The 23,247-nt window shown below is 46.0% G+C and overlaps 1 long non-coding RNA gene and 1 pseudogene across 2 annotated transcripts, besides 3 other annotated features; both read right to left on the bottom strand.

The window, feature by feature from the left end:
* Window positions 1–8,771: 8,771 nt before the first annotated feature.
* LOC107987272 (uncharacterized) lies at window positions 8,772–12,061 on the bottom strand. Its single transcript, XR_001754025.2, has 2 exons — window positions 11,972–12,061; window positions 8,772–9,262 (listed from the first exon to the last, which is right to left on the bottom strand). It is a non-coding gene; the product is annotated as an uncharacterized LOC107987272 (long non-coding RNA).
* Window positions 12,062–13,932: 1,871 nt separating this feature from the next.
* CENPBD2P (CENPB DNA-binding domains containing 2, pseudogene) lies at window positions 13,933–22,929 on the bottom strand (annotated as a pseudogene). The gene is made up of 2 exons (NR_026052.1): window positions 22,740–22,929; window positions 13,933–17,083 (listed from the first exon to the last, which is right to left on the bottom strand). The product of NR_026052.1 is annotated as a CENPB DNA-binding domains containing 2, pseudogene (transcript).
* Window positions 16,084–16,587: an enhancer, noted in NCBI's record as "H3K27ac-H3K4me1 hESC enhancer chr19:59093108-59093611 (GRCh37/hg19 assembly coordinates)". NCBI's record gives its function as "activates a minimal SCP1, AML or CMV promoter by ChIP-STARR-seq in naive H9 embryonic stem cells {active_cell/tissue: H9 hESC(naive)}" and the evidence as "EXISTENCE:reporter gene assay evidence [ECO:0000049][PMID:30033119]".
* Window positions 22,253–22,402: an enhancer, noted in NCBI's record as "active region_15214". NCBI's record gives its function as "activates an Ori minimal core promoter by ATAC-STARR-seq in GM12878 lymphoblastoid cells {active_cell/tissue: GM12878}" and the evidence as "EXISTENCE:reporter gene assay evidence [ECO:0000049][PMID:35858748]".
* Window positions 22,553–22,662: a silencer, noted in NCBI's record as "silent region_11097". NCBI's record gives its function as "represses an Ori minimal core promoter by ATAC-STARR-seq in GM12878 lymphoblastoid cells {active_cell/tissue: GM12878}" and the evidence as "EXISTENCE:reporter gene assay evidence [ECO:0000049][PMID:35858748]".
* Window positions 22,930–23,247: the final 318 nt, after the last annotated feature.

Raw genomic sequence — 23,247 nt, 5'->3', positions numbered from 1 at the left:
TTCAGAAATTATATAAAATTCCTGGAAGTTTGTCAATGTCCTCCTTATCCATGCTATGTGCCACTATAGAGTAATGAGTCATAATTCCAATTATTACTTTAAATGTTGTGCCAGGCACAGTGGCTCATGCCTATAATCCCAGCACTTTAGGAGGCTGAGGCGGGTGGATCACAAGGTCAGGAGATCCAGACCATCCTGGCTAACCCGGTGAATCTCCATCTCTATTAAAAATATAAAAAATTAGCCGGGCGTGATGGCAGGCACCTGTAGTCCCAGCTACTCGGGAGGCTGAGGCAGGAGAATGGCGTGAACCCAGGAGACAGAGCTTGCAGTGAGCCGAGATCGCACCGCTGCACTCCAGCCTAGGCGACAGAGCAAGACTCTGTCTCTAAATAAATAAATAAATAAATGTTGTCTGCCACAGAAAAAATCGAATATCCTTGTCAGCTGTGGTATAATGAACTCTCATCAGATCTTTCATCACAGCCATTTCATACTTTTTGTCATTTAGATATTATTTCCCCCTGATGCTTTCCTGAAAGCTCCTGCAATCAACTACAGGTCAGAATGTTCGTCTCCAAGACAGGACTCCCCCTGAGACTCACAGAAAAGACTATGACAGGTACTCTGGTTATAGGCTTCTGATGATATTGCTTAAATAACTTTAAGACCATACACTTGACTCAGTTAAGGTCTCCAGAAGTCCGGTTGGGAAACTGATGGGTTCATGACACTGCTAACTCAAGATCCACAAGACTGGAATTGATTACATGGCACTGAATGAACTGATGAAAATTGATTATAATTGTATAGCTTTTTGGAGCATTGCTGGTTAATATTCTAGTTTCTGGATTTAAGAAATCTCTTTCTCTTACTCTAACTGTAACTTACAACAATTTAGTAGATTATACTTTTGTAAACAGAAATGAAGCGTTTATCTTTTTTTCTTGCCTGATTTTTCCAGAATTTTGAAATCCTTACTGAATACTCTTATTTCCACGATGATATTGTTGTTAGCAAAAGTCCAATAAGAATCTATTCATCTTATAACAGGACATAATTGGAAATTTTGGTTATATTATCAAGGTTTTTACTGGAATATCATATTTAGGGAGTGTACCTAAGATCAGTTATGACCAGCAATTTTAAGGAAGTAAGGTTGACTTTTATGGAGACAATGCTTACAAAGCACTGTGGAAAACTTTGAGGAAAGTTCTTCCTCAAAGATTATAAAGTCACAACTACCCACTATTTTTATATGTGTGTGTGTGTGTGTGTGTGTGTGTGTGTGTGTGTGTTCCAAATCACTTGTCCTAGCTTGCTCCAGCATGCCTGGACAGAACTAGACAAGCCCCAGCCCATAGTGCATGCCATTCCTTATTTGGAGGTGCTTCCTTAACTATCCCTGGGCAACTTCCTTTTCTTTCTTTCTTCTATTCCCCTTACCTAATTAAGAAAGTTTTAAACTAACAGCCAATCGGGTAAAGTGTAAAATGGGAGGTCCTATTCCAGCCAATGGAAACTGGACACAGCAGTAGGGTAGACACGTCAGGTTATAAGTAACTCTGTCTCCTTTGTTTGGTGTGCTCTTGTAGCTGGACAGCTATTGAGTAGCACCCTTTGTGCAGAAAAATAAAGCTCGCCTTGCTAAGAGATCATTTGTTCCCATGTTAGTTCTTTTTTTTGGGGGGGGGAACATAAAAAACTTCATTCCCAACAGCACTCTGAGAAAACCCAGCCTGATACCTAGATTACAGGGTTCACAGCCTTATAGGTTAGTAAGGAAGGTCATTTCCTGGTAGGCCCAGGAATTTAGGGATATTTTGGGGCCTCAAGAAGAGAGGAATTCACACAAAGCTATAAGGACTGCAGCTGAAATTTGATAGTATGTTCTTGGCTTGGCTTTTAGCCTGAATAAGGCCTTTAAAAGTCAAATCTGAGATTCTGTATGAAAACTTCCAGCAAAGAAACCTGAAAGCACCTACGTGGTCATCTCCTGTTCTTGCTGCACTTACGTAAATAATCAAGCAAAATCTAACAAAACTAGACTTATTTTTAAAACAAGAATAGTCTTACTTTGATTATGATCAAAAATGATGGTTACTACAGAGAGAAATTTTATCTTTCAAAGGAAAAGTATAACACAGCCGGGCATGGTGGCACATGCCTATAATTACAGCCCTTTGGAAGGCCAGGAGTTCAACATCAGCCTGGGCAACATGGTGAAACCCCGTCTCTACCAAAAATACAAAAATTAGATGGGCATGACGGCATGTGCCTGTAGTCCCAGGTAATCAGGAGGCTGAGGAGGGAGGATCGTTTGCACCCAGGAGGTAGAGGTTGCAGTGAGCTGAGATTGCACCTTTGCACTCCAGCCTGGGCGGCAGAGCCAGACCCTGTCTCAAAAAAAAATTTTTTAAAGGAAAACTATAGCCATTGTGAGTTATCAGATTCTAGTCTTGTTTCTTGTTTCTGGGCTATTTTTACCTCTTTGTAAACTGGATCCTGCCATCTGATGAATTTTGTCCCACAATGATGCTTGGGGAACAAGAAGCCAAGTATTGTCTCTCCTACTAATGTATCTATTGTCAGTTAACTTGAAGGTCTCCAACCCTGGAACAAAGTTAGAAGAGGAAGGTTCTGCTCCCCAAAATGCATAACCAAATTCTGCTACATTCATGTAATGGAATACTATTTAGCCATAGAAAGGAACAAGATATCAACACACACAAAGACATGAGTGAATCTTGCATGCACATTGCTAAGTGGAAGAAGACAGTCTGAGGAGGATACACACAGTGTGACCTCATTTAATGAGACACTGGAGAAGGCAAACTACACAGATGGGAAGCCATTGGCTCCATGGGGTGGGGGTTTGAGGCATTCCATATGATACTTTAATAGTGGGATATCTGCCACAATGCATTTGTCGAAATATGCAGAATTTTACAGCCAAATGGTTAAAGCAAACTCTATTCAAATTAAATCAAATTACTCAGGATGTGGAGTATCCCAGGACAGAATACATCATGTGAAAAAGAATTTATGCTACAAATTACTATGGTTTGGATGTGGTTTGTCCCCACAAAAACTCATGTTGAAATTTGACTCCCACTGTGTCAGTGTGGGGCGGTGGGGCCTAGTGGACGGTGTTTGGGTCCTGGGGACGGATCCCTCATGAATAGATTAATGTCCTCCATGGGGGTGAGTGAGTTCTGTTCTCACAGGAATAGATAATTCCTGCAGGAGCAGGTAATTAAAAAGAGCCTGGCTTCCTTGGCTTCCCTCTTGCTTTCACTTCTGCTGTGTGATCTCTGGTGCACCCCTTGCTCCCCTTCCACTTTCCACCATGAGGTGAAAAAGACTGAGGCCCCACCAGATGCAACTGCCCAATCTCACACATTCCAGCCACCAGTATTGTCAAACAAATGAAACTGTTTTACTTATAAATTACGCAGCCTCAGGTATTCTGTTACAGAAGCACAAAATGGACTAAGACACAAATCTAGGTAAAAACTTTGAAAATGAATAGAATCTGTAGGCTGAAGGCACATGAACTATACTTCATTATTGGATTCCATTTTATAAAGTTCTTTCCAACAGAAGCAATTGTGAACAATTGTAAAACCACAGTGTCTGTATCTGGAATAAAACAATGACTTACATAAGTCACAGATGGTGGGAACCAGGTTTCTTACTGTTGAAGTGGGAGGTTACAAATTAGCAAGGCGAGAAGGCTAGAATGATTCATGTGATAGTAGATCAGAGGTGGAGACATCAACGTAAACTTATGTTTAGTTTAATATAGACACACACAGTTCTACATAGAAAACTTTATAATTAGGTGTGTATAGGTAGGTTAGACACACACATATACTTCCTAGCATTGCCAATGAGGGAGAAGATACAATGTGCTCATTCAGCAGCCAGATGTAAGTTTTCCTACCATTCTGAAAGTAATCAGGCTCTTTGAAGAAATGTCTGATACTAGAACTGGGACAGTAAATATAGGAGCCAGGATAATCTGGAAGTATCAGAAAGTAAGTACTAAAAAAATTAAAACATATCAAAGAAAAATAAGAGCCAATAAAAACAGCTACTGATGGCCAACACAGGAATGAATTGTGCAACATAATACTGTAGTGTTGAATAATAACTAAAGCTTAAAGTAATTATCTAGGTGTCTGTATTTGTATACCTAGGTGAATAAGCAAATGGAGTTGCATAGAAATCTCCTTTGCAAAAGAATTCCAAATAATTGATGTAGACACTCAGCCGTCAAGAAGGTGGAGCCAACTCCTGACAGAGTGAGGCTCTGCATAGTGACTTGCTCCAAAAGAACACATGCAGTACGGACAAGGAGGAGAAATAACCTCACAGTGGAGAAACCTGACAAACATTAGCTCTGCCAAATGATCCAAGTGAACATCAAAGGTGACAGTTCACCTTGAGAACATGAAGTGACAATGGGGGACATTCTACAACATTCCTGACCAATCCTCCTCAGTGCTATGAAGGTCATCATGAGATGGAAAGCCTGACACACTGTCACAGCCAGGAAGAGCCCACGTGATGTCTACATGTCATGCGGGATCCTGGATGGGATCCTGGGTCAGAGTAAGATAGAACTAAGGGAATCCAAATGAAATATGAACTTCAATTAATAATAGTCTATCAGTATTGGTTCATTAACTGTGACAAATTATGTAAGATATTAATAAGCCATGTGAGACACACTGATAGAAGATGTTAATAAGAGAGGAAACTAGGTTGCGGCTACATGGGAAATCTCTGCTTTTTTTTGACAATTTCTGTGTAAGTAAAAAAGATGATGTAAAATAAAACTTTATTTAAAACACTGTTTTTTTTGAACACTTCCTTGTTTAATTATTTATACCATGAATTACTAGTAATTGACACTGTTAACTAGTCCTGTTTTTTTAAATAAGAGTATTTATGACACAAAAAATTAAACAGTGCAGACTGATACATAAATCAAATGTTCTTTACATGTTTTCTGTTGCAGTAGTAACACATATGTGTAAACTTAATTATCACATTTTTCTTGTGCTGTGGTTGTGTCCTGAGTTCATTCTCTAAAATGCTGTTCACCTTAGACCAGGAAAAATATTAACCATACAGACTCTGTTTTAATTCATAGCTAAATATTTTCAAAAGAGTGACTTTGTAAAAATATGTTCCAATGGCAAATTGATTCATTGTGATGGGATCACTTATTCCAAAGACTTCCTGTCTTTATTTTGTTGCCATGCCTACCTTTTAGCCATGATACAACAGAATCAAATATTGGCCACTGGGAAAAAATATTCAAAGCAAGAAAGAATGTGAACAGAACTTATGACCATGATGATTCAATGTTTTACCACAATGCTTTCTAAAACAGAAGAGTGTAAAAGGATATTCAAAGTCAATTTCCTCAGCGAGGCTTTGCAGAAAATGAGGAAACTACAGAAACAAAAATGGCAGGACATTCTACGGGTGATTTTAAATGTTGCTATGTTTTATGGGAAAAAAATACTTTACCTTTTAAAGAATCACAAAGAATTATTGGAAACCCAAACTCTGGAATGTTTGCAAATTTAGTTGAGCTTCTATGTAATTATGTCTATATAGGTAGCCAGGAAGTTGATGATTTTTTAAAAATCTGTGCCTTATTTGTGTGATAAAATACACAATGAATAATTAATGCTCATAGGAAAACCTTATGAAGGGAAAATAAATCTTGGGAATCAAAATCACTAAGCTAAAGGGAAAAGCCAAGCTGGGAACTGCTTAGGGCAAACCCGCCTCCCATTGTATCCAAAGTCACCCATCTGCTCACCGAGATAAATGCATACCTGATTGCCTCATTTGGAGAGGGTAATCAGCAATGCAAAAGAATGAAACCATTTGTCTCTTACCTACCTATGACCTGGAAGCCCCCTGTCTGGCCTTCTCACCTTTCTGGACTGAACCAATGTACATCTTACACGTATTGATTGATGTCTCATGTCTCCCTAAAGTGTATAAAACCAAGCTGTGCCCCGATCACCTTGGGCCCATGTTGTCAGGACCTCCTGGGGAGGCATCACGGGCGCACATCCTCAAGATTGGCAAAATAAACTTTCTAAAAAATCTGAGAGCTGTCTCAGATTTTCAGGGTTCACACATGTAATGTAGGATGTCAATGTTTATAAAACAGACATTATTCTATCTACTATTAGAAATATGCTGCCAATTAACCTTACACTTTCTCAACAAAATAAAAAATGTTGATGAGGTACAAATAATATATCTAAGCTTAAATAGTGTTACAAGTTTTAATATGCCTACTTTTCAATTTTTCAATACTATTTTTACTAATTTAACACTTTAAGTGAATAACTAAAACATGAATAAGTGTTTACAAGGGGTGCACATGTTTCCTCCAGCCTCTGCCTATCCCCAGCTTTCATCCCAACTGTCTTGATGGTGGCTCTAAGCATTTCTCCTTTCTCTATGCCAAGATCTCTCCCAGAAACAAACCCAAATCTTACTATATGTTATGGCACGCTATGATGATGAGCAGCGATGAGCAGCCGAAGCCTCAAGGAAGGGATGCTTTTGTAAAACAAGACTTGTAGAATATAACGTGTGAAAGTAAAGCCCATGGCAGAGCTCCCTCCTCAGCACACGGGGAGCAGACAGGAAGCTTTTGCCTCACCTTCCTCAATGGCCTCCAGCCACGTCTCCCAGGTCAGTCTTAAGGACAACGAAACTCTGGTCTTCACTGTGGACATGCCACACTACCAGGTGCTCCAAAGCCATGGTGACCCATCCTCGGGTGGGTCCTGAGAACAAAGCTCTGGTTCTAATTCTAACCCTAACCCTGTCCCAAGACTTTGAGCCTGAAGCTAAATCCTGATCCCTACCCTGGTCCCTAATTCTGACCCTTACTTTAACCCTGACTTTGATCTTGACCCTGACCATGACCCCACCTCTAACCATACTTCCAGCCCTGACTCTGACCCAGATCCTAATCCTATGCCTAACCCTATTATTATCTTTACAATCTATCTCTACTCTTACCCTCTAGTGCTAAATAGCTGTACCCAAAAGCACTTTTAAATTATTTCTTTTCTTGAATTCTCTATGGACATCCTAAAGGAGATGTCAATATGTATCTTGCATTCCCTCTGAGTGGTATGGCTTCAGATATGAAGTTCTAATACTTTGCAAGACATAAAAAGTTTGGAGGGTAACAGCACTGGGTTGTTAGGGATGTAAGTTGGCATTCATGATAGTCATTGGTGCTGTTCTCCAAATATTTTCAGTTTATTTTTTATGAATGCATTCTGACTGTTCCATCCCACCTACTTAAATTTTCCCATGGCCACATGACTTTTTTTTTTTTTTTTTTTTTTTTGCCGATGGAGGTGAGAAGAAATAACATGTGACTTTTTCAGGAGAAATCTCCAAGAAACAGCGTTCTATTCCGCATGCTTTTTTCTCTTTTCTATAGCAATGGGGATCTCATTGACGGTCCCTCCTTCCTTCTGGATTCCTGTGTTAGGATGACACAGCACAGAGCTACCTCTCACCTGACCAGTCATGAGATGTAAATAAATAAGGAAGAAGATTTTTGAGCCACTGAAATTTGGAGGTTGTTTGTCACCACAGTTTAAGCTAGCCCCCACTGACTGATGCACGGCTGAAGAATGAGTCCGAACTGGCTCTGGACAAGACGTGAAGAGCGCTCCAGGCTGAGTAAAATTCAAGGGTTGCCTCAAAGATAACAGTGAGCACGATATGTTATTGGGGTGGGTGTGGGATAAATAAGGTATATCAGGTGAGAATAATAAGAAACTCAACTTTAAAAGACGGCGCTGATTTGCACTGTGGAGAGATTCAAATGCCCTGCTTAGCATTTGAGATTGTGATGGATGAACAAACTAATTAAGAGCCCAAAATGAAAGCTGGGGATAAATATCTGAAGGTGTCTAATATCCCAATTTTTCATCCTAGAATGGGCAGAGTCCTTGACCCCATTCTAGGGAGACTTCCAAAAGAAAAAAGACCTGCATTTCTTCAACAACCCACACTGAGAGACTTTCCTGCACTTTTGTGACCTGTGGCTAACACTCCTCACCTTTCATTCTGTCATCAGTGTTTTGGGGAAGCACCTTTAACTCTCTGTGATTTACAGGTTATTAAGTGGCCCTTACAATTCCCTCCAGAGATGGAAAAGACATGATGATGGTGCCTGAGCTCACAGCAGCAAGCAGGCGTGTGTGCTCAGCAGCCACGTGGCTCATCTGCTAGGAGCTTGCTAAACACGATGTTCTACAACATTGCTTAACGCAAGGGGAGACGCTCCTGACTCAGAGGGTTTAATTGCTCACCTATTTCTTTTTCTGCCCTCTTGGGCTTCTGAAATGAAAAGAACCCTGGGGTGATACAGTGAGTCAAAGGGGTGCCAGCCGCATCACAGCATAATAGATTCCTAAAAAATCCCTGGCCTAAGATGACAGCCTTGGCTGGATAAGTTTGAATGTGCTGATAGTGGACATGGTAGAATGAAGGTGGTTGAAATGTTCATATTAAAGAACTTCCACCCAGATTGCAAGAAAAGAGAGAGGAATGGAGATGGCAGCACGAGCCCCTACAATAAAAGCAGATGTTTTGAGATCAGTTATATTTCTTCTGACAAAAATTAAAGACAGAAACCAAAGTTTAGCCTGAGGCTACAATTAATTGGGCAATAAGCCAGAGGCACATATGGCATAGACAGATTTAAACATTTCTCCCTTGTATTAATACAAACACTAAAATTACAAATACATGGATTCCAAATAAAACAAATATTTTAAAAATTTAATGAATAAACACTGGGGTCTACAGTAGTATTTGAAGGAGATCTCACAAACAGGTTTGGTTTTTGAAGGTTAGAACTGGTGGTCTAGAGAATTCATTTCATTCCAGAGAAATAAAGAGAGGAATTTCTTGGGTTCCTTCAGGAATGCATCTAGCTTTGCCTCATCTTTGTTTGAACTATGGATACGGCAGAAGAAAACATGAGGATTTCACAGATTTAAGGTGCAAAAAGTCACTGGGTTCTCTAAGAAGTCTGGGATTCTTCTGCTGGAAAAATAAGTTTGTTGAGAAAAAATGAGTTGGAGGAGGCTGTTATTGAAGTGAAGCAGAATTGTTTTTACTAATCTGCTTATTACCCACTCTGTAGTGTGGAAACAAATTATTCATGCACAAGGTCCTCTTACTGTTCCTAGAATGCAGTGGAAAGAGAACAGATTAGTTTTCCTCCCTCAGAACACAACCCCTAGAAACATCCTACCTCAGATGAGATATTGCCTAATTATTTTCAAAAGACAGTAAAACATCATGGATGTAAATGTTTGCTGCAAAATAAATACGTGCTAGAAACAGAAGCATCTGGGTCACAGCTATATTAGAGCTACCTGTGTTCCCCTGTCACTGACATTAAAACAAAAATGTCCAATACGATCCTTCACAGTGTGAGAGAGGGGAAGATGAAGGATGGAAAGGCCAGGCATAAAAGGATTTCAGAATTTCCGTCCATAAGGAAGTGGCTTTGTGCACTGTCTGTTACTGCGTGCAAGGTGAAATTTGAAGAATGAAAACGTGCAGTAACAAGGGCTCCTTTGTCCAACTCACCTCTCCAGATACCAAGTTTCAGACATGTTGCATTTTAATTGAAAGGTTGATATAATTTTTTTTAAAGAACACTTGCAGTGTTTGAAGTGACAAAGGCTACTGTGACAAAAAAGCAGGGAAAGGGAATTTTTTTTAAAAAAAGCAAACAACAACAACAAAAACCCCAGAGAAAAGCAAACAACAAACAAACAAAAAACAGAGGAAGAAGTCAAACACCCTGGGCTGTGACTACTTCCAGGAAGGGGCTACAAGAGGCAGCTGGAAATTCTATTTGCTTTGCAACTGTGGGTTTTCTGGCCTGCTTCCTTCTAAAGTATATTACTCTGCTTTTGGTTCATGAAGTTATCCATTTCTGTTTTCTGGAACAGCTATGTATTTTCTTTATCTATCATCTATCTATCTGTTTACCATCTATCTTTTCTACCTTTTGCTATCAAGAGCTTGGGTCAAGCAGGATAGAATTCCAGTGTATGTTCACTCTACCATTTAAAACAAGAGCTCTTGTAGGCATTCTCCATCACATCATAAACCTGAGCTTTCTAAAACAGAGTGTGGCAAACTACCATGCATGGACCATGTCTGACACAGTCTGCGTTTGTAAGTAAAGTTGTAATGGGGCACAGCCAATACATGTGTTACATAATGTCTCTGGCTACTTTCATGGTATAATGGAAGAGCTGAGTCATTGAGAGAGAGACCATATGGCTTGGAAAACTTGAAATATTTAACATTTAGCCCCTTGCAGAAAATATTTGCTGACTCTTGTTTTAAAAGATCTCTGTTTAGAATGCTACCTATTGCCTTCTGGATAGAATCACAACTCTTTACCACAATCGACACAGCTTCAGCCCTGCTTCTATATCCAGCCTCATCTATTTCTGCTCCTCCTCCTTATTTTCCTTCTGGACATGCTGATGGATTGTCAGCTTCCCAGATGTGCGAGAATCTCTCCTCCCTTCCCAACATTCTCACAATCTCCCTCTGCCTCTCAAGAACTTCCTGTCCCATCTCTCATGACAAATCCTTTCTTCATTCTTTAAGATGCAGCCCCTTGGCTCTTTCCTTAAGGATGTCTGTCTGGCTCTATTTTGGGTGACGTGCTCCTTCTGCATCTCCCAGAGCCAGCCGGTGTGTGTCAGCTACAACATTTCTTTGCATCTCTGTGTCATATATCACCAAATCTGCCTAAGCTTGCATGAGTCACTGCATGACAACTTCAGACTCCACCAGCATTGTCCCCACTAACCACAAGGCTTAGACATTCGTCCAGTATGCTCGGGGTTGTGGGGTGGTAGCAGTAACCAGCTGGTGACCATCATTTCTTACATCAGAATCAAATCTGTAGATCTCTGCCATTCATAAGTATTTGGAGTTTAAAATTAGCATAAAGATTTTCCTTAAAATAAGAACAAATGGCTTGAGTAGGCTTTTGGAACGTAGGATGTTTCCACTGGTTCATGTCTGTGTTCAGTATTCCCACATGAATCTAAACATGACTCTGCTCTTAGTAGCTGTGTGACCCTGGGACAGTCACTCAGTCTCCCTCAGCTAAATTTTGTTGTGTGAGTAATGAGGAGAGAGTTGTGATTTCTATTTAGTGAATAATAACAAACAAAAGGCATTTAGCTTTCTGGAACCTGGTATGTAGTAGAACCTCATGAAAATACTAGCTCTGTTGATAAAACTAGACTGAAAAAAGCTTTCAAAGTCAACAACAGTATGAGGCAGTGAAGGACGTAGAGGAGAAGCTGCTGCTGCAGCCTGTAGCTCCTGGAAGCCCGTTTTGTCCATGATTTAGCAGGAACGCATTACCTTTCCATGAGGACACTGCCCACAGAAACCAAGGCCATTCTTTGAAGACAAACATGTCTTAATAGCCTTTACATTACGTAATAGTGTAATACAAATAATAATTTATTATTAGTAATGTGAAATTATTTACAATACCCTAACCCTAACCCTAACCCTAACCCTACCCTAACCCTAACCCTAACCCTAACCCTACCCTAACCCTGACCCTGACCCTGACCCTGACCCTAAACCCTAACCCTGACCCTGACCCTGACCCTGACCCTGACCCTAACCCTAACCTAAGACCACCAGGTGTGCAGAGATGTGTTAGGGCAGGAGCTTGTGTCCTCCCTATAGACCTCAGACCTTCAGAGGAAGCAAGTCAACTGGGGCATGGCTGCCTCAGGGAGGGGCTTCCAGGAGTGTGAAAGGTTGGAGGAGTGAGGTCATCATGGGAGAAGACACCCAGCCCAGATTCTGGAAGTGCAGCAGCCACAGAAGCACCCACCTTGTCTCTGGGGAGCCTGGAAGCACACAGGCTGGCTCCACTCGCTCCACTGGCCTGTGTCACACTCCTTCTCTGCCACGTCAACCTCTGGCATGGCCATCTGGACATGAAGCCTGGCCTCAGGGATAAAGCCACAGTCCAGCTCAAAGGCTTCAAGTAGGATCCAGGTCACCCCGACAATGTGATCCCTGTGCTGGGCCCGCTGTGGGTGTGGGGACAGTTAGCAGGTGCTGAAGGTAGGGCTGGGTCCCTCAGCCCTCGAGAATACACATATGCACATGCTCACATAACACACATAGGAACACACCTGTGTTCACACAGGAACACTCAACACATTCACGTGCACACGTGCACACACACGTGCACACACACAGATAAGGCACACTCACACACAGAAACAGCTGTGTTTGACACACGCACACACAGGCAAACATGTCTACAGGCACACTTTCACACTCAGCACACTTGCATGCACACTCATATACACAAATGTGTGGACAGAAGCAACTCACCACACTCACATACACACTCATACACATAGGCATGCTCATGTGGATACTCACATATACAAACACAAGGCACAGACACCCTCATCTACACTTACATACAAAGGGGAGGGGAGGAGGGGAAGAGGGAGGGAGGGAGGGAGGGAGGTAGGAAGGGAAGAAGGGAGGGAGCGAGGGAGGGAGGGAGGGGAAGGGAAGGAAGGAAAGGGAAAGAGGAAAGGAAAGGAAAGGAAAGGAAAAGAAATTAGAAAAAAAAAACTTAGTTTTATTAATCCTCTACTGTTAACTTTTTTGTTTCATTAATTTATCCTATTATTTCTCTGTCAAAACCACAAGCTGAACTCCAATGCCTTCTCTTTTTTTTGGAAATAAGGTCTCACTCTGTCACCCAGGCTGGAGTACAGTGGCACGATCACAGCTCACTGCTGTGATCAGTTTACTGAAAACAGCCCAGTCTCCCTGCCTGGCACACACTAACCAGTGGGTGCCAACTGATGTCAGTGTGACTCCCCCCATCTGATTAATATACCCAAAGATGGTATTTGTTTGTTGCTGTTTGAGACAAGGTCTCACTCTATCACCCAGGCTTCAGTGCAGTGCCACAATCATGGCTCACTGCAGCCTCAACCTCCTGGGCTCAACTTCAACCTTCCTGCCTCAGCCTCCTGAGTAACTAGATGTAGGGTCCAACCCTACGGGGCTTAGGGGGTGTTCTCCCTATGTGCAGAGACAAGAGATTGTAATCAATAAAGACACAAGACGAAGAGATAAAGAGAAAACAGCTGGGCCTGGGGGAACACCACCATCAAGATGCAGAGACCAGTAGTGGCCCCGAACAGCTGGGCTCACTGATATTTATTGCATGCAAGACAAGGGGGCAGGGTAAGGAGGGTGAATCTTCTAAGTGATTGACAAGGTGAAGCAAGTCATGTGATTACAGGACAGGGGCCCTTCTCTTTTAGGTAGCTGAAGCAGAGAGAGAAGGCAGCATACATCAGCAATTTCTTCTCTGCACTTATAAGATCAAAGACTTTAAGACTTTCACTATTTCTTCTACCACTATCTACTACAAACTTCAAAGAGGAACCAGGAGTGTGAGAGGAGCATGAAAGTGGACAAGGAGCGTGACCATTGAAGCACAGCACCACAGGGAGGGGTTTCGGCCTCCAGATGACTGCGGGCAGGCCTAGATAATATCCAGCCTTCCACAAGAAGCTGGTGGAGCAGAGTGTTCCCTCACTCCCCCAAGGAAAGGAGACTCCCTTTTGTGGTCTGCTAAGTAACGGTGCTGTCCCAGACACTAACGTTACCACTTGACCAAGGAGCCCTCAAGCAGCCCTTATGTGAGTGTGACAGAAGGCTCACCTCTTGCCTTCTAGGTCACTTCTCACAATGTCCCTTCAGCACACCGTTTATTCCTAGGTTATATTAGTAACACAACAAAGAGTAATAATAAAAGCTAATGATTAATAATGTTTATTATAATGATTGATAATTGTTCATGATCATCTCTATATATAATTATGACTATTATTATTCTATTTTCTTTATTATACTGAAACAGTTTGTGCCTTCAGTCTCTTGCCTTGTCACCTGCATAATCCTCAGCCCACAACTGGGACTACAAGTGCATGCCACCAAACCTGGGTAATTTTTTCTTTCTTTTTTTTGTACAGATGTGGCCTTACTATGTTGCTCCGGTTAGTCTCGAACTCCTGGCCTCAAGCTATCCTCCTGCCTCAGCCTCCTAAAGTGCTGAGATTACAGGTGTGAGCCAATGCAGCCACCCCAAAGGTGGTGTTCAAAGTTGATTTCTCATCCAACTCTGATTCTAGACTGAATAGCACAGACCCTCAAATGTGAGGTGCTAACTAGCAATCCTGGAATCCAGAGATATACCCATGATGGACAGCCCAGAGAAAGCCCCAGTGCTGGGGCAGAATCCACCTGCTCAGGTGCAAGAGGCCTAGCCACTTGGGAGTGTTCATCACATGCACATTATCTGAGGTTAGGTCTGGGAATGCCTCAGCCAGGTGTGCAGAGATGTGTATGGGGAGCAGGTGAGAGACATGGGCACCTGGACTCCCCAGCCAAAGCTTCAAGACAAGCTTAGTGCAACCAATCCCCTGGGCTGTTCATAACAACCCCTCTCTGGTCCTGCAGGAGGGAGGTAGGCTCATATAGAGGCTTCCTGGCAGGGCCCTACAGCTGGAGACAGAGGCCACCCACCTAAGGACCTGCATCCTGCAAGGAAGCCAACTCATGCCCTGAAACCCAAGTCCTTACCCAAATGGATCACATCCCCAGATGGATCACAAAGCCATGGGGCTTTCCCATGTGCTGTCCCTGCAGGCCTCTTTCTGAGGGGCATCAGGTACCCCCCAGTCCTCCATCGTGGGATCTAGGGCCTTGTGTCCAAATGCCACCCTTTCCTTGGAATGAGCCCATATCCGTGGGAAAAAGAAAGTCTGGGGGCATGGCAGGAGTCCGGGGGAAAACAGCAAAAAGGAGGAGGACAGGGCAGAGAAAGCAGGGAGAGGGGAGGAGACAAGAAGAGAGAGGGAGAATGAGCACCCAGGCCTGGCCAGGGGATGCCTGCAACCATGCGGATACCCCACACCAGGGCTGGGATGCCTGGTGGGAAGAGCCCAGGTGTGCTTCCTCACTAGCTCACCTACCACAGGTCTGCTGGGGCAGAGCGTCATTTCAGAGGACAGCGTGGCAAGAAGCATCCAGGGCCCGGGAAGAACAGAGCTGGAAGGTGTGCGGCTGGGCAGTCCTCCCACTCAGGCCCACATTCTGCACTGCTGAGTCTCTTTGGGGGCTCAGCTGGCTCAATCTTTGCAGTCTACAGGATTGAAGGTCAGTGGAAATGTGAACAGAAAATAAGCAGGAAGTCCATCTATCCCTGCTAACCCTACCTCTGGACACACGGAATGCTCAGTGCAGTGGGAATAGGCTCCAGGAAGACCATGGAGGGAGATGCTGCACAGTGAACAGTGAACCTGGCTTTCTCATGGCCTTCCACTAGGTCACTGGCACACTGTGCTCCAAGGAGCCCCAGGCTGTAATAAGTCACACTTGAGAGTTCATGGAAGCGTCTGAGAACCATGTATTTGAGATGGAAGTTCACTTGAAATAATAAATTAATGCAGATAAAAAAATATTGGGGGAATTAAAGGGCCAGGCACCATGGCTCACGCCTGTAATCCCAGCACTTTGGGACGCCAAGGCGGGTGGATCATGGGGTCAGGAGACCGAGACCATTCTGGCTAACACGGTGAAACCCCGTCTCTACTAAAAATACAAAAAAATTAGCCGGGCGTGGTGGCGGGCGCCTGTAGTCCCAGCTACCTGGGAGGCTGAGGCAGGAGAATGGCGTGAACCCGGGAGGCGGAGGTTGCAGTGAGCCGAGATCGCGCCACCGCACTCCAGCCTGCGCGACAGAGCCAGACTCTGTCTCAACACCCAGGGTGGCCGGGAGTGCTGTCCAGGATGGGCAGCCCCTTGTAGGGAAGGTCGTACTGGGTGCAGCGCCCTCCACTGTAGAGCAGAAGTGCAGGAACCACTCCTGGAAGAGGCTCATGGTTACCCAGGCTTTTTTTTTTTTTTTTGAGACGGAGTCTCGCTCTGTCACCCAGGCTGTACCCAGGCTTTCTTGTGCGAGCACCACACCAAGGGCAGGTTGGGCTTGAAGGAGCCCTTGAGGAAACACGGGTTCTCCGAGGGGTACCCCAGCAGGGCCTTCAGCTTGAAGTCGCCGGCTGCGTTGCCACCGAGCAATAGGGTCAGGAGGTCTCCGGCGGCTTTGACCCAGGGGCCGACTCATCTTCCACAGGAAAATGAACGTCCTCTCGGCAGGCGCTTACAGAGGAACCTGGGCTTATTCATGGTGAACACCAGCCAGAGCTTATTCATGGTGAACACCAGCCAGAGTGTGTAGCCGCCCTCCGGGATCACCCTGCGCATTAACGCTGGATTCTTGCACGCTGCGTTCTTGGGCCGCTGGCCCCGATGCTGCTCAAGCTGTGGCGCGCCTTAAAGCCAGCGAATCACCCTCGACCGGCCCCGAAGCTCTCGGGCTAGGCGCCCTCGCCCTGCTCCTGCTTGCGGTTCTCGAACGGGCTGTGGGCTTTCTCCCGAATGAGCACCACACTGAGGGGCATGTTGCGCTGGCTCTGGTCCTCCATCCGCATGCTCAGCAGCTGCTCCATGTTCTCCATCACCAGGCTGCGGCCACGCGTCAACTTGGTGGCCGCCTGCAGTGTGGCCTCCTGGGAACTCGCCCAGATCTTTTCCTTGTTGTCACGAATGGTGGCCAAGGTGGAGTTGGACAGCCCCAGCGCCTTCCCGATTCTACTGAGCTTCTCTCCGGCTTCAAAGCGCCACAGCGCCTCGAGCTTCACCTGTAGGTTGATGGCCTTGCGATCCTACCAGATGCCTCAGTAATCGCGAGCGTTCAGCGGCCTCTTCAGGCCCGACACGGTGGAGCGGGAGACTGTCCGCGCCGCTTCCTCCAGACACCGCAAGGGGGTGCTTGTGTTCCTGCTACTGAGCCCGCTGATCTCAGCACTTGTTGCCACTAAGGCCCCAGCCATGACTCGCGCTGTAAAATGAGGACACAAGGCTTACTGGTGGGGAGTGCTGACAGGCTTGGGTAACACCTGGTAAAGATAATTTACCAAGTCTCTCTCTTTAAGGAGCAGATTCGGGCCATATTAGGGTCACAGGGCTCACTTCCCAGTGGATGTTTGCCCCATACACTAAACTAACTTCACTCTCAGGAATGCAGCAAGCTTCTGTAAACACACTAGGACTTTATAAGCTTTCCCTGCCCCTCACACTGAACATCGGGTTTCCAAATCACCCCCCTCAGCCTAACCCTAACCCTAACTTCTCCCCCCTCAGCCTTCCGAGTAGCTGGAATTATAGGCGCCCGCCACCATGCCTGGCTAATTTTTGTTTATTTTTAGATGAAGTCTCGCTCTTGTCCCCCAGGCTGGAGTGCAATGGGGCAATCTCGGCTCACTGCAACCTCTGCCTCCCGGGTTCAAGTGATTTCTCCTGCCTCAGCCTCCCGAGTAGCTGGGATTATTGGTGCGTACCACCACGCCCGGCTAATTTTTGTATTTTAAGTAGAGATGGGGTTTCACCATGTTGGCCAGGCTGGTCTCGAACTCCCGACCTCAGGTGATACGCCCGCCTCAGCCTCCCAAATTGCTGGGATTACAGGCGCAAGCCACCGCGCCCAGCAATGCCTGGCTAATTTTTGTATTTTTAGTAGAGACAGGGTTTCACCATATAGGCCAGGCTGGTCTTGAACTCCTGACCGCAGGTGATCCACCTACCTCAGCCTCCCAAAGTGCTAGGATTACAGGCGTGAGCCATCGTACCCAGCCCAAAATCCCTATTTAGAGTGCATATTATCTAGGCATCTGTTCAATGGGACACTGGGAACCAGAACTGGGGGCTAGTCCTTAAAGAGCAGGCATATGCTAGCTATTGTTCAGGAGACACTATGCCTCAAATGCTGGTGGACATGCTTAGAAAACAGAGCCCATGGCTGGGTGCAGTGGCTCATGCCTGTAATCCTAGCACTTTGGGAGGCAAAGGCAGGCGGATCACCCAAGTTCAGGAGTTCGAGACCAGCCTGACCAACATGGAGAAACCCTGTCTCTACTAAAAATATAAAATAAGCCAGGTGTGATGGTACATGCCTGTAATCCTAGCTACTTGGGAGCTGAGGCAGGAGAATCGGTTAAACCCGGGAAGTGGAGGTTGCAGTGAGGCGAGATTGTACCATTGCATTCCAGCCTGAGCAACAAGAGCAAAACTCCATCAAAGAAAGAAAGAAAGAGGGAAGGAAGGGAGGAAGGAAGGAAGGAAGGAAGGAAGGAAGGAAGGAAGGAAGGAAGGAAAGGAAGGAAGGAAGGAAGGAAAGAAAATAGAGCCCAGCACTACAGAAAAAAAAAAACAACACCCCACAGTGACTATAGATATATGCATCCAAGATGTCTCCCCCGCCCCTCATATTCATGTGTAAGGAAAAACCAGTCCTGCAAAAGCAAGGCTTTCAATCCCCTTAGCAGTAGCTGAAACCAGCTTGCAGCTATTCCAGTATGTGTAGAATCAGCTTCATGAAGGCTCTGTGGAGACCCCAGCGTCAGCCCGCAGCAACACCTCCCCAGGGATCTGGATCCCAGTGCCCCCACCACCACGTTCCCCTCCTTTGAGCTTCTCTCAAAGACTAAACCCAACCTCTTCCCTTTGTTCATAAAGCTCTAGGAATGGATGTTGTTCCCTGAAGTTCCTACCAACATGACATCTTAGGGTTCTTTTTGTACTTTTTTACTCCTTCAATATCTCGGTAACATTTTTTACCTTAATTTCCCTCTGTTAAAACAAGTGGTGTGTTAGCAGTTCCTCAAAAGGTCAAATAGTGTTATCATATGACCCAGCAATTCCACTTCTAGGTATACAACCAAGAGAAATAAAAACAAACATCCAAACAAAAACATGTACATGAACATCCATAGCAGCATTATTCATAATAGCCGAAAAGTAAATACAAGCCAAATGCTGATCAAAGAATACATGAATAAACAAAATGGGTCATATCCATACAATGGAATATCACTTGCTCATAAAAATGAAGTTCTGACATGTTAAAACATGGGTGAACCTCGAAAACATTATGCTCTGAGAGAAGCCAGACATAAAAGGCCACATAAAGTATGATTCCATTTAATGAAATGTCCAGAATAAGCAAATCCATAGAGACACAAAGCAGATTAGTGATTGCCGGGAGCTTAGAGGAGGGGGCTGATGGGTGACTACTAATGGGCATGGGGTTTCTTTTGGTTGTGATTACATTCTGGTATTAAATGGTGGTGATAGCTGTACAACCTTGTGAATATACTAAAAATACCTGAATTGTATACTTTTTTGGTATGTCAATTATAACTTGGTAAAGGTGTGCTTTTAAAAAAAGGTGATATAGTTTCTACCTCCTGACAGAGAATCGCGTAGGCAGAAGACACTGCACAGTCATGCATGAGCAATCGAGTGAACAGAGGAACAAATGCCAGGATGAATGGTGGCTGTAACCACCCTTCTCTCATATCTTGTAGTTGTCACCCCCTCCCAAGCACAAACGCATACACACGTGTGGAACCCAAGCTCACAGTGAAGATGTTAGACACTGAAAACTACAAAGCTGCTCCCTGCCAGGCCAGTCTCTGTGCTCACCTCCTCTTCCCCCACCTCCTTCAGGGAAAGGATACCTAAATTGTGACTGATGGTCTCATGGTCCATTTCTCCAACCAGACTAGGCTCCATGAATGCCAAGTGTCTTTCCCTGCTGGACCAATAGGGCCTGGCATATGGCAGGCACTTAGTGACCTTGCGGGGAAGGAAAGAAGGATGGGAAAGGAAGCCTGGTCTACCCCAAGAGAGGAGAAGTCACATCAACCTCAAGCTCATGCCTTTGGGGGGCTCAGAGGCTGCAGAAGTCTCCAAATGCGTCACAGCTTCTAGGTCCTCCTCCCCAAGACAGGGATATTGAGGGCCTAGGCAGACGGAGGGAGACACTCAGGGCCCAAGGTCATGAGCTGTGATCCCTCATAGATTCCCCTATCCCTCTGGCCAACCCCTGGACCCCTGTGGCTCACCAGTCTTCAACATCTGGGTGAAGTCCTCCACCAGCGCCATAGCCTCCTCACTGCTCTCAGGGCACTGGGGCTCCACCCAGACACAGATGGCAGGTGGCAGGACACCCAGGTACATCCTGCAGGGCCGTCCCTAATTGGTACCACCACCGTGGAGTACCCAATGATAGAAGGGGATGATGGTTCTCCATACCAGATCAAGAATGATTCAGTGAAACTAAGTCAGATCCTGACCTCTGTTGGAGCCCTCCCAGGCCTTCAAGTAAAAGCCACAGTCCTCACTGCCTCCTTTGTAAGACTCAAAGCCTCCTCCTCTACTCTGCTCACTCCTGACCACATCTTCCAGACAGAGCAAAGGGGCTTTTTTTGTTTTGTTTGTTTGTTGAGACAGAGTCTCGCTCTGCCGCCCAGGCTGGAATGCAATGGCACAGTCTTGGCTCACTGCAACCTCTGCCTCCCAGGTTCAAGCAATTCTCCTGCCTCAGCTTCCCAGGTGCTAGGACTACTGGTGTGTGCCACCATGCCCAGCTGATTTTTGTATTTTCAGTAGAGACAGGGTTTTACCAATGTTGGCCAAGCTGGTCTCAAACTCCTGACCTCAAGTGATCCACCTGTCTCGGCCTCCCAAAGTGTTGGGATTACAGGCGTGAGCCACTGTGCCAGCTACAAAGGGACTTTTGTTCCTATGGTTCCTTTGGCCCAGAGCAGGCACTCTTCCCTGTTATCTGCATGGCTTTTTCCCCTCACCTTCTGCAGTTCTTTTCAAACACAACCTTATGAGACAGGGGCCGTCCCCCACCGTTATTTATTTATTTATTGTGCGTCTGTCTCACCTTGTCTCTTTTACACTTTGAACCATGTGAATGTAACACCTGGTCAAAACAGTAAAAATTTTTTTTAAAAACTGTGCTTGTGAAAAACAGGAACAGGCCAGGCACAGTGGCTCACGCCTGTAATCCCAGCACTTTGGGAGGTGGAGGCAGGCGGATCACGAGGTCAGGAGTTCCAGACCAGCCTGGCCAACATGGCGAAACCATGTCTGTATTAAAAATACAAAAATTAGCCAGGCATGGTAGTGGGTGCCTGTAATCCCAGCTACTCGGGAGGCTGAGGCAGGAGAATTGCTTGAACCAGGGAGGCGAGGCAGAGGCTGCAGCGAGCCAAGATTCTGCCACTGCACTCCAGCCTGGGCGACAAGAGCAAGACTTCGTCTCAAAAAAAATAGTAATAATAATAATACAAAAATTATCCGGGCATGGTGGCGTGCGCCTGTAATTCCAGCTACTTGGGAGGCTGAGGCAGGAGAATCGCTTGAACCAGGGAGGCAGAGGCTGCAGTGAGGCCAGATCCTGCCATTGCACTCCAGCCTGGGCGACAAGAGCAAGACTCCATCTCAAAAAAATAATAATAAATAATAATAATAATAATAATAATCAGTTGGGCATGGTGGCGTGTGCCTGTAATCCCAGCTACTCGGTGGGGCTGAGGCAGGAGAATTGGTTGAACCCGGGAGGCGGAGGTTGCAGTGAGCCGAGATTGCGCCACTGCACTCCAGCCTGGGCGACAGAGCAAGACTCCCATCTCAAAAAAAAAAAAAAAAAAAAGATAGAAGAAAGGAAGGGAAGGAAAGGAAGGAAGGAAGGAAGGAGGGAGGGAAGGAAAGAAGGAAAAAAGACAGGAACGAAGGAAGGAAAGGAAGGAAGGGAGGAAAGGAGGAAGGGAGGAAAGGAGGAAGGGAGGGAGGAAGGAAGAGAGGGAGGAAGGAAGGAAGGAAGAGAGGGAGGAAGGGAGGGAGGGAAGAAGGGAGGGAGGGAGGGAGGGAGGGAGGGAGGGAGGAAGGAAGGAAAAAAGGAACAAATGCCGCCTGACCGTTCTTTGTGGAATGACTACACCTATGATGAGTACCTCCATGGACCATGCACCTGCCTTGAAACAAGGAGGCACAGCACACAGGGCCCTCAGCTAGAGTGACAGGGAAAGGCGGGTGGACATGGGGAAGGCTCAAACTCAAGCTTTGAAATCGGGGAAAGCCCCGAAATCTGAACCACTCTTGGGCCCATCCTTCTCTCTCCCACATTCACACCTTCGCCTGCGCTCCCATAATTGCAAATTAATTCATCCACACATTCACACATTCTCTCCCTCCCACTCTCAACAGGCAGCCCCAAGCCCGGGGGCCTCACGAAGTCTGGGTGGATGACCAAGCTCCTCCCTCGAGACTACATTTCCAAGACAGAGGAGGGAAGGGGAACGAACAGCGGACACGCGCTGTGAGGCCGAGAAGGCCCGCAAGGGACCTTAGGGCCGGGCGAACACGCCTCCACGCAGATCTGGGCCAAAGAACTCCTCGACCCAGGAGGGACCCAGACTCAGATCAGCACCTGCGCAGTATGGTCTTAGGCGGGTACCGTCCCGTGTAGCGGGTCTACATTTCCCAGAGAGCCGTGGGGCCGCCGAAGGCTCCGATTGGCCCACTCGGGTGCGTGCCAGCTGCGGACACAGTGGCCTCATATCCCAGTTCCCCGACCGAACCAAGAGGAGGGGCTGCAGCTCCTGCCCCGAAGCCGGGGCCCCAGCGCGGCCGATCAACCTCACCTTCGGGTCGCAGTGCGAGCCGTCTGCTTTAGCTGGGCTGGCGGGGCTTCGGCCCTTCCCCATCGCCCCGCCTCACAGTGCAGTTTTCCGGAGGACGCCGAGCCCAGGGTCCATCTCGGCCGCGAAGGGGGAAGGTTGCCTGGCGACGGCCGGGCAGGGAGGAGGCTGCGTCAGGCCCGCCCCTTGCGACGCTCTCCGCTCTGCGCCCGGCGTCCCGGGTACTGCCGGAAAATGTAGTTTGGCAACGAGGCCGCACCGCACAGAGTCCAGCCAGGGGCGCCAGAAGCTGCTTCTGACCAAAGGCTGGCTTTCTCGCCGCCTAATGTCTTTGTCTTACATCACCCTCCCTTCCTCCTTCCTTTCCTGGGTATGTGTCACTATTTTCTTTTTTTTTTTTTTTTTTTTTTTTTTTGAGACGGAGTCTCGCTCTGTCGCCCAGGCTGGAGTGCAGTGGCGGGATCTCGGCTCACTGCAAGCTCCGCCTCCCGGGTTCACGCCATTCTCCTGC

Source organism: Homo sapiens, chromosome 19 (assembly GCF_000001405.40).
Source record: "Homo sapiens chromosome 19, GRCh38.p14 Primary Assembly".
NCBI classification, from domain to species: domain Eukaryota; kingdom Metazoa; phylum Chordata; class Mammalia; order Primates; family Hominidae; genus Homo; species Homo sapiens.
The sequence above is the reverse complement of the archived record's forward strand: the minus strand, read 5'-3'. Positions and strand labels throughout refer to the sequence as shown.